The sequence below is a fragment of the Homo sapiens genome, chromosome 2 (genome assembly GCF_000001405.40).
Source record: "Homo sapiens chromosome 2, GRCh38.p14 Primary Assembly".
NCBI lineage: Eukaryota > Metazoa > Chordata > Mammalia > Primates > Hominidae > Homo > Homo sapiens.
Window position 1 is genome coordinate 176,065,979 of NC_000002.12, and position 11,191 is coordinate 176,077,169.

The 11,191-nt window shown below is 50.2% G+C and overlaps 2 annotated features.

Annotated features, from left to right (window-relative positions):
* Window positions 6,692–7,192: an enhancer, noted in NCBI's record as "H3K4me1 hESC enhancer chr2:176937398-176937898 (GRCh37/hg19 assembly coordinates)". NCBI's record gives its function as "activates a minimal SCP1, AML or CMV promoter by ChIP-STARR-seq in primed H9 embryonic stem cells {active_cell/tissue: H9 hESC(primed)}" and the evidence as "EXISTENCE:reporter gene assay evidence [ECO:0000049][PMID:30033119]".
* Window positions 9,364–10,704: an enhancer, noted in NCBI's record as "VISTA enhancer hs246". NCBI's record gives its function as "enhancer in: hindbrain (rhombencephalon)[6/6]" and the evidence as "EXISTENCE:transgenic organism evidence [ECO:0001131][PMID:17130149]".

An 11,191-nucleotide genomic window follows, 5' to 3' on the forward strand; every position in this document is an offset into this window, starting at 1 on the left:
GAGCAAAGCTCCATCTCAAAAAAAAAAAAAAAAAAAAAAGAAAAGAAAAAAGAAATAGGTTTCTGGAAGGTGGAGGTGGCTAATGATAGCTTAATTAAAAACAAAGCAAAACAAAACAAAATAAAAAGATAAAGCCTTTCACAGCAAACAGGGGCCTTGGGTTATGGAAGTAAAAATGAATTCTCAACTCATTTCGGCTTCCTGGCTTTTTTAAGTCCTCTGGCCTGTGACCACCCACTTCTCTGTAGCGCTTAGTAACCAGATCCTAGGCCACTGCCCATCTCATACTGCCTGTGCGTGAGTATAGGACAGAGAGGAGTTTTGGTTTGTCCTGATGTGTACATAAAGGTACATGACATTTATGGAATACCCCCTAAGAGTAAGGCACTGCTTTCTCTGCGACATGAGAAAATTCATTAATTCTTTACAATCCATATATAGGTAGAACTCTTGTTTATCCCCATTATCCAGAAAAGGACAGCGAGATACAAAAAGGTTAAGTAACTTGCTCGACGTCTCACAGCAAATGAATAACTCAGGTGAAGGTCTCATAGCAAATACATAACTTACACTTGGGCCGAGGTACCCGTGGGGCCACCCTCACCTGGCAGACTCCACCCCCATTACCAGGCCCAGGCTGCTTCACTAGAGCGCTCCTTAGTGTTGGCTTGGTCTTGATACAAAGATCTCAAGGCAGCCACTAATGGTGGGGCGAGAGGCTGAGAGGGGGAAGAGAGGTTGGGGTGCGCCTTCCCGGGGCAGGCTCTCAGAACTTCCATAGTTCAAGTCCTCATTTACTAATGAATTTCAGAAAAGCAGTTAGAAAACCTGGGTGTCGCCACCATCTCCACTCCTGCCAAGCAAGCCTCCGCCACGCGGTCGGGGACCCGGGTGGGCGCATCTGCCCTCCCCAAACAATGGTGGTCTCTGGGGCTGTGTGGAGCCTACGCCGGCCCAGGAGAAACCAGCCTCCCGTAAACACCGGCGGCGAGTTGTAGAAAAGTCCCTCCAGGGTCCCAGCCCTTTGAAAAGGTGTGTCCCTCCCCTTCCTCGCTCTCCCCAGAGCAACGTCTGGGAAGCCGACACTTTAAAGGCGCACTCCTTTTCAGGAAATCTCCGGGTGCTTCCTGGTGGCCCCCGGGGGAAGCTTTGCTAGCCGCCTGCCCCTGTTCCCGGAAACGAGGCCTGCTGGGCGGACTGGCAGTGCGTCCACCGCGAGGACAACACTGAAGGCGCTGCTGGCCTCGTTCGCGGTGGGGCCCGCCCCGACCCCGCGCTCCACTCCGGCCACGCCTAGGTGGCTGCGGAGGCCGTGTCCCTCCTCCACTTCTCAGACCCTCGCCGAGCAACTGACGCGACCCGGAGGCTGAGGAAGACGGAAAGTCCGGGGCCAGGTCCCACGTCTGTGGGTTCAGGGTAGCCCCCAACATGCCTTCAGCTAGCGAACCCCACCTTGACATCCCTTTTTTTCAGCTAGGAGCGCTTCGGCCGCTTTCTTCAGCTTTTTTCTTCAAAGAAAAAGAAAATCAGAACCGAAGGTGGCTGTGGGCCTCGGGGTGACCACGGGACCAAAAGCCAACACTTATTTTCCTCTACTTTCTCTTTGAAAAATTATCTGGCCCTACAGTGCCACTAACGCCCAGGACAGGGTTGTGCAAGGGCCCGAAGCCCTCGGTGATTTTCGCCGGTGCCTAAGTGTGGAAGTCTGTGTGTGGAAGAGGCCAGCCAGGGCGACCCTTCTTGGCGTTGGGCGCACCTGGCACTTGAATTGGGCCCACGGTTTTGTCCCCTTTCCGGGCCTGCGAGGGAGTGGCAGGGTAGGCTTGGCTGGCTGGGGATTGTGGCCGTGTCCAGACCAGGCTCTCCTCTCCCCGTAGCTGTGCCTGCGCGGTCGCTGCTCCTGCGGTGCTGCGCTCGCCTCGCGGCTGGGTGGATCTCCAGCGGGGTTACCCGCGCGCACTAGTGGAAGAATGGAGGGTCGTCTGGGGAATCTCCACAGGGCGCCTAGCCATTTTTAGGGGCCTCTGTTCCTTCCCCACCTGCCAGCTGCCTCTGTCCTCCAGTCCCCAGAAACCGCGCGGACCCCTGCGCTCTGGGGAAGGCTTAGGGAGCGGAGAATAGAGGTCAGGGGTGCGACCAGTTACACCGAAGAGGCGGCTAGAACTCTGAAGTGACAACCGCCACTTTTCAGTACTCAATGCACAGAGTTCATCTGTGTTCAATCTCCATGCTGAGCGCCCAAGACCCTGGCAAGTAAGACTTGGGTAAGGCCAGCAAGGAGCAAGTCTGTTGGAGGCTTTCAAGAGCCTACTAAGGAGGACAGATATAGACAGGCTTTTTTCCATGAGGGGAAACTGAGGTTTCAACAGAAGCATCTACATGTTTCAGCCTGCACTCTCTGGGCATGGCCAGTGGCTCCAGGCCCCGAAATGAGCCACTCCGCCTCATCTGCACCCTCCCCGTTCCCTAAAAATCCGAACGAACTGCTCGCTCCCAAGGTCAGGATCTTACGGGGCCACTTTTTCGGATCTCCCAGGATGCTTCCTGGTGGAGTGGGCAGCGAGGTTTCCAGCCGGGCTCGCCCCGCCTCCAGAACCTCGGGCCACAGTGCTTTAACGACGTCGTCGTTCCGCTTGATGCGAGGGCCGCTTGGTGAACTGTTGGCGACGTCGTTCGCAGCCCGAAGTCCCTGTAGCAGGTCGGTATCACACATCTGCTACTTGCCTTGCGCTGTCGCCAAGCGTAGTCCCAGTCCTTCCCGTGAATTTCAAAAGTGGCATTGGAGGCTCAGACAGGAAACAGGCGTGAGGGGCTTACACACTTGAGCTTGCCCAAGCCCTACCTCCCACCCAGCGGGCTTCCTCCCGCTTGCCATGGGCCAGGGATCAAAGGAACAATAACTACAATGGCCACCATTTATTGAACATGCCAAGCAAACTTTAAAAGGTTTTATTGTTTCGTGTGAGCCTTACAACAACACAGCGAAACAGCTTCTATTATGCCCATTTTACAGATGAGAAAACATGCAGCGAGATTAATAGATCGATTACTTGAGCCCCAGTCAGGAAGAGCCCAACATCCTGCTGCTTTCATTTTGGAGGGTGAGAAGTGGAGTGTGTGGAAGAGAGGCAAAATGGAGCCTACAGGGCTCAGTGGGGCTCATGACCCTTCTCATTCCCGAAGTCACCCACCAAACAAACTCTGCTTGAGGCCCCTCCCAGCAGGGGCCCTGGGAGGAAGGTGGTGGAAGACAGGACTGACTGAGGACCTTGAGCCAAGGGAGAGACTCATCTCATTTGGATTCCAAATGTTTTAGCTGTGTGACCTTGGGCAACTTGCTTAACCACTCTCACTTCTGTTTTCTCAGTTATAAAATTAGAATCATAATGCACAAGGCAGATAGGAAACTCTTAAGAGCTTTCTGAGGATTAAATAAAGGGAATTTATTTTTCTTATCTTTCCCTGTTGGTTTCCCCATGCCTAGCACAGTGCCCTGGACACAATGAATACAGGATAAGGTATTTTCCTTTCTTTCAGCTTCTTCCAAAGCAGCACCAGCTGCATGGCACCTCCCACCCTGCCCTAAACCGCCTGACTCTGTGCGGGCACAGGTCGAAGCAGAATATTTGCCTCTTCTGCCTCTTCTCCCTTGGCCTCAGGCCCGGACCAAGTGAAGCTCTTGGGAACAGGCATTTGGTGGACTGGTCTCAGCCTCTGGGACTCAGAGGGCAGCCGGCAAGGGTGGATGGGCGTAGAAGAGGGAGGGAGCAAGACCAGGTCCTCAGACTCCTTACTCCTTCCTAGTGTTGGGAACAACTAATACATACAACTTACTCTACTGTCAGGCCCTAGTGTGAGCTTTAAACACACTGTATTAACTCAATCTTCCTGAGAAGGAGGACTTACTATTCTTATTTTAGGGATGAAGAAACTGAGGCAGAAAGCAACCTGATTGTGGTCACACCACAAATGAGTGGCTAAGCAGAGATTTCAACCACAAAGCCATACAACCTCTCGCATTTGGAGAGTATGAGTGGCAAAGGCACCCTTAGCAAGAAGAGAAGGCCAGTTAGAACCTTAATCTGCAAGATTTCCCCCAGGCTCCTAAGGTCTGGAGGCCTGTGGGTAACCAAACACTGCTTGTCCAGCTCTGCCTCAGCAGCTCCATCCTGGCCTTATCCTTGAGCCTGGACACCTTGAGGTAGTCACCTCACACACCCCTGAAGTCTTGGACCTTGTTGTCCCTGAGTGTAAGCCTGTTCCCAACCCTATTCCACCTCTGCCTCAGTTCCCTGTCCCCTGCCCAACCTCTGTGCTGCCTCTATCATCAGTCTGTCACTAGCACCATTCTGTGACCGTCCTCGTGGCCTCTCTGGGTCTGAGTCCCTTCACTCTGTGCACATGGTTTTGGGTTTGTTTGTTTGTTTTGTTTTGTTTTGTTTTTCTCTGCTTGGATATCCAGTTGAATTCCCAGGAAACCTCTGCCCCACCCCCACCTCCACCTCATTTTTCTCCTCTGGAGACCCTGCAGGGCACAGGGACTAGAGCGATCTCCAGGCCATTGCTTTCACATTTATTTTGGGGTTTGTTTCTTGATGGATCCAGAGGCTGTGAAGAGTTCTGGATTCTGGATGATTGATGTGAGCAGAACCTGGCCCAGGGGAGAAACCAGTACCCTACAACCCCAGTTTCTTGGACACCCCCTTTCCCAACACTGCATTCCCATAGGAAACCCCAAGCAACCAGACCCTGAGTGTGGGTCACTGCCTCACACAATGAGCCGCCCCTCCATTCTTTCCCTTTGACTAAGGGTGGCAGGTGAGGCAGATGTTTTCTGGCAGGGGCTTTCCTCTCCACACCACCCCACTCCACCCTACCCCCAGGAATCAAACCTCTATAGCCTTGATGGCCAAACCCAAGCCCACCCTCCCAGCAGCAGCCCTGGGCTCTTCAGGAGCCTTTGGCTTCCCCTCCATCCGGGTAATTTATTTGTCCAGTCAACAAGCATTTATTGAGTCTCTACTCTGCTCCAGGCCCCAGAGATCCCCAGCTAAAACCCACCCCTTGCTCTTGCAGGTGATAGGTGAATGCAGGAGTCTCTGAAGGGGAGCGGGAAGATATCCAGGAAGACTGACCGTGAAGAAATCCAGGAAGACTGCTGAGGAGCTGACCCCAAGGGTGAACAGGCCTTGGGGCCTAAGAAGCTGATGAGAATGTTCATGAATGGCCCTTTGGACCCTCAATTCCACGTGGCCTCTCAGGACAGGCTAGTAGTGAGAGGCAGTGGTGGGGTTCGAAACCTGCCTGAGCTATTCCCAAGAGCAGTGTGAAGTCACCTCACACAGCCCTTGTAGTCTCCTGCAATTTGGCTAGCAAAGCTATGTCGGTAGACGCATTCAGAGGTGGCCCACTCCGGAGAGGGACAGATGTTGCCAGCCCCTCACCACTCCTAAGCCCACGCATCTGAGTGGGGAGAATCAGCTTTTCCAAAGCACCACCCTACCCCCACCCCACTAGATGACTTGGATAGTCAGAGGAGGCGAGAAGCCTTGGCGGAATGTGTGAGGGTGGGGAGCGATCGTGCTGGAGAAGACCGGGCGCAAACAGTCGCTGGGGAGATTGCAGCCTTTAAGCTTTTTTTCTTATTCGCATCTTCTGGCTTCTCTCTTCCGTCGAACCCTTTTGGCAACCGCAGGGAACACGCATCCTCAGGTTGGCACGGGAGGCGGCGAGGAGCTCCCGGAGCCACCGGCTGCTGGATCCCCCTCTCCCCCGCGTCTGGGCGGAGGAGGAAGGGAACCGGGTCGCGCGTCCCCCTGCGACAGCTCTGAAGGCTCGAGTCCCTGCAGAGCGTGGACACCAGCCGTCTTCTCCCGCCCACGGCGTTACACCCGTCTCGGCTGCTCCGAAGAGACCCCTCGCTGCCATCGCAGAAAGGCTGGGCCAACCCTGAGGGCCCTCTCGCCTGGCCGTCCCTCCTCGGGTGCGAAATTAGGGGAGGAGGGTGTCGGGGTGTGCATCTCCAGGCTGCGGAGCTCCCGGGCATGAAAGCCAGGGCCGAACCCGAGAAAGCAGAAGTGCACGAGTTCGAAGTGGCCACTCGGCCAGCACTCCACAGAGCTGACCCATCCAAAGAGGGGAAAGACCTGCCTGGGAGAGACCCTAAAATGAGGTCGGGGTTGGGGGATAGGCCACCTCACCCCTGACCGCCTCTTCCGCCCGGACTGCAGTCACCCGAATAGCCTTCTGCCTGCCCAAGAGGAGCAGAATTGCTCAGGAACCCGGACTAGGGTCCTTCCTACCTACACAAATGCAGATCTACCTCCGTGGGTGCCCCATTATGGAACTGCAGTGTCACCCACACACCTCTCTTTGAAGGGAAGCCTTCTGGGGCAGCTTAGCGGAGTAGCTGAGAGCGTGAAACTCATGATCTGGGCAGTGCAATATTCAACTCTGGGAAAAGTGTTCATCCCACAGCCCAGTTTACCCCTCTGTAAAATGGGGATAATGATGGAAACTATTTCGTATGAGTGTGGTGAAAATTAAATGAGTTAATGTATGCTCTTGGCAGTACGTGGCATATGGAAAGTGCCAAAGTTTTATTTAACTGCCCTATTTTCACCAAGATTTTTTAAAATGGGGCAGAGGAATAGAAGGAGGTCCCAGAAAAACTCATTTTAATCCCTCCTGCCCTTCCGCAAAGCCTTCTGCCGTGGCCTCTGACTTTTTTATTTTTACTTTTCTCCAGAGAGAACTTAAGTTAGGCCTCATGAACAGGGAGGGCAAACCAGGCCTGCTTGGGGGTCGGGGTCGGGGTCGGGATTGGGGTGGGGTTGCAGATGAGATATCTGAGGCCAAGCCCTGCCCTCCTGTAGCTTCCACTCCAGAGTTGAACCTGGGCTAACTCTTCTCCCACACAAAGTTGTCAAACCGAGCAGGATATCCGCAGAGATTCGCCAACCGTCTTGGCATGAAGGTGGAAACAACGGGTCACCGCCGCCCTGAATCAGCTCCTGCCAAAGGGCTCATTAAATCCCCCTCCAGAGCCCCCATCCCAGGACTAAGTAAGTCATTTGCTGGTCTGGCTTGGATGAACCAAGGATCGCAGGAGGCTGCCTGTGTGCCTACCCGTCCCCCCGCCCGAGTCCCCTAGTGGGCGAACGCTGGGCCGGGCACGGTATCTCCCTGGCGAGCACAGCCTGAACCCAAGGCTGGTTTTGAGGTGGCAGTTAATTACTAGCCCGGAAAGCCGAAGCCCCGGAGCCGATGTCTGGGCTGACAGGGTTCCCTCCTCAGCCTCGGGGCAGTCAGACGATTCCTAACAACTTCTCCCAAGGAGGTAGATCCCTGTTTATCAACCAGCACACCCCGTCGGCCCTTTTCTTTGGTAAACACTCTTTAAACAAACAGCCCATCCGCCCTGTTATTGCCAAAGCTGCTCAGAGCTTTAATAAAAGCCCAGGGAAGATCAGAACCCGCGTCCAAGGCTGCTGCTTAATCCAATGAAGGCAATTTCCGAGGATAATTGCGAACATGTTTTAATGCATATGCATGAAAAAGGATTTTTTTTCTGAGAGACCAACTTTACATGCTTATGTAATTGATTGAGGCGCTGACCCGCTATTCAAAATGTTATTTGAGAACCATCACAATGCGTAAACTTGCAAATTGCCCAGCTTGTATCTGAATTAATACCTCATTCATCATCATTATGGGTTGATAAGTTAATTTAACCATTTCATTCTGCCTTAATGAGCTATAGTTAAATTAATGCCACATAATATATGAAAGTAACATTTAAATAGAAGCACTGGGCTGAGACAAGCCGAGGCTGCTGCTATTTGGGCTGAAATAAGGTGACATAAATCTTTTCTTCATTACAGGACCCAGTCTGCTCTACCAGCAGTTATGAAGTATTTATTCATTCACTTTCTTTTGCGAAGTTGCTTTGCCAAATAGCATAGGTAAATTATGTGAGCTTGTAAATAATGCCTGAGGATGTATTTATTAAAATAAGATTGGGGTGGAGGTGGGAGAATCTATAAAAAGCATTTTCACAGCATGCTTTCCCATCGCTCCAGGAAAACCAAGACCCCCACTGCCAGCCCTCCCCAACTTGGCTGGGAATACCACAGGGTCTGGAGGTCACTGGTTTTACTCCAAAGTGCCTGCTCTGAGTTCAAACCTCAGAAACACCAGCCTGCCCCTTTTCTCGTTTGCAGACTGGACTATCCTCCCAACCCACCCCCGCCACCACCCCTCCTCCCCTGGGTTTCCGTCACAGGCAGAGACACCTTGATTCTGGTTTTCCTAAGTCAGGGATGATGAGCTTAGTTGTGGATACTTTGCAAATTGGTGTAAAGGAAGCTGGAAGAGAGGGTGACCCTTCCCACCTCAGAAGTGGTTCAGGAAGCTTCCATGAGATTCTTTGGACCCAGACCTTAGGTCAGAGAAGCTGAGGTGAGAGTGGCTCCAAAGAAAGAGAAGGGATCAGGCCAAAAGGTCACTGAAGAAAGGGGAGGTGCCCCCAGGAGCCATAACCCCCTACATTTCTCCCTCTCTACTCCCAAGCCAGTCTTTTATTGGGATAAGTTATTTAAACTCAAGGGGAGTCTCTCCATCTGAGAGGGGGTGAGACAGGGCAGGCTTCGTGGGTGGGGATCTTTGTAGTCACACAGGGTGATGGGCTTAAAAGCCACCCCCCAGCTTGATTTGATGTTCTGTTGTTGCCCTCTTGAAATTCCTAATAACTTTTGAACAAGGGGCCCACATGTTCATTTTGCACTGGGACCAAAAATTGTGCAGCCAGTCCTAGGTGGAAAAAGAGGAAAGGAAAAGAGACTGACTTCTCATGACCACTGCAGGGCTCTATGTCCCCTTCTTTGGTTCCTTATGAGAGGAAACTCAGAATGCTACTTGAAAGTAGATCCCCACTTCTGATCAAATCATGGCTCATAACATTAACAGACAAATTATAGCGTGAGCCCTACGCTGCTCTCCAGGGTCTCCAGGTGTAGGCCTTTGATGACTGGGGTTTGGGAGAGCTGCCAATAAAGGTTCAGCCTAAAACCAAAATGCACTCCAGCTTCTGACCTGATCGGCCTAGGAAAAACGCTCAGGGCCTTGGCAAAGGAAAAGGTCACTTTCCTTCCTCAGAAAGCCCAGGAAAGGGACTCAAGTTTTAGCGGGAGGGAGAGTTATAAGTCTTCCTTTAGCGGATTCAGGATGGGTAGGATTGAAAGGACACCTTTCCTGGAATCCATAGCAGACTGAAGAATTTTGAGTTTGGAGCTGTGTGTAAGTAAGTAGATTTTTACAAAGGTAAATTTCTTTGCTTGTTCTTTTTGCACCTAAAAATCCAGGACACCGGAGCATTATGGGAAGAAAAAGAAATACAATTTATGGAAGAGAAGTAACAAGAGGAAAACCCTTACCATATATTTAGTCTTCATAACTTATTTAATTGCAGAGGGTAGCGATTGTTTCATCAAATGTTTCATATTTCTGAGTTTGGAGGGCGGGGATGCCAGGGTAAGCTTCCTCCGAGCGACTAAGGAGCAGCAACAAGCTCTGGAATTTCCTCTCGGGGTGGTCCGTTCCACCTTAAATAACTTGGGCTTTTTGGTCCCAAACGCGCCCTGTAGTTCAGGTTTTTTTGTCCTCCCTGCAGCAGCTGTCACCCTGCATTACTCGCAGTCAGCTAAATGAAACATTATTCTAAACATATGCATCGTAATCAGTTCGGTCACACTTACAAGAACACGCGTTAATAAGGCAATCAATCACCCTGGAACAAGCAAGTTGTTCTGTAACAGCTCATAAACAGTGTGTAATGAAGAATTGGAGGTTACCGTGACATGCGTTGATCAGATAATCAATGTCAAAGATGCGATGAATGTCAGTAAATGTAGTTTTCATGTCGTTTCTATAAAATCTTCAATTTACAACAAGCAGTTCAATTACCCAGAAAATACAGTCAATTAAATAGGGGTGATTGGACAGTAGGGGGGTGGATCATCGATCTTTGCATTTCTATCTCGCTAGTGGACATTTAATTTGGTTTTTCCATTAGCGACGAAATAAAGAAAATATAAAATATATTAAACAACCTACAGATTTATTTTCTTGTCAAAAACAATTCGGGCTTGATGACAGACAGTCTTCTGCATTTTATGATGAATTATTTTTTCATTCTTTGCACACTCGAGACAAAAAAAATGCTGTTATTTTGGACAGGGTTTTTTGGCCACTGTCTTTTTCCGTTTGCTGGCCCATCTATCTCAATGCTTTTGTTTTTAAGGGTTACAACCCCCGAGTTAGCAAAGAGCACCGAAAACCAGGGTGATACATCACCAGTCCAAATGTGCTGCTATAATCGTATTTCTTTAATGGGGGAGTTCAAGAAAAGAGAGAAGGGGAAAGAGAGAAAAGAATTTATCGAGGGGGAGGGAACCCTTGGGATTACTTCAGTATATATTTAACCAACCTGCAATTAAAGACGGTATCAGCTTGTATCATTTAGAGCTAATGCAATAATAATGGTAAATTACAGGCCAAAATGGCTTGTGATCGCAGCCTCTGTATTCCCAGTAGTGTCCTCATCGTTGTAATTAATGCCAGGGTGAGCAGTTGGAAAAAGAAAATTTCGAGGAAGGGACATCTTGGTTTTTAAATCGAATAGACTGCTTTGCACACACCATTGACTCTTGCATTTTGCCATCGAAATATCGATTTTAAGACAGATCTGTAAATACACGAAGAGGTGGACTGAACTCGGGAAAGAAGATAGGATTGGGAAAGAAAAACAGGGCTGAAGTACCAAAGCAAAAGAAAGAAGGAAGAGGGGAAATCATATTTTTAAATATCCAGTTGCTTGAAATACTCATAGCCAATTTGGTAAAATGTTCACAGCATCCTTTATCCTCAGCAAACAGAAACACTACTTAAGTTTGAAGAATGTGCTGTACACCCCTAAAAGAGACCAAAGGAGATGGAACTAGTAAGGGAGGGCTGAGCTTGAAGAGGGCTGAGCTCCTATTAAGAGTGAACTTTTTCCTTGAATTAAATATTAATATTTACTTCATAAGTGGGAGAATAAAAGTGGGCAAGTTAATTAGATAGAGGAATTAATTTTGTTTACCTTTGTAGTACTGCAAACATAAACAGCTCCTAACCCTGTGTACACACTCCC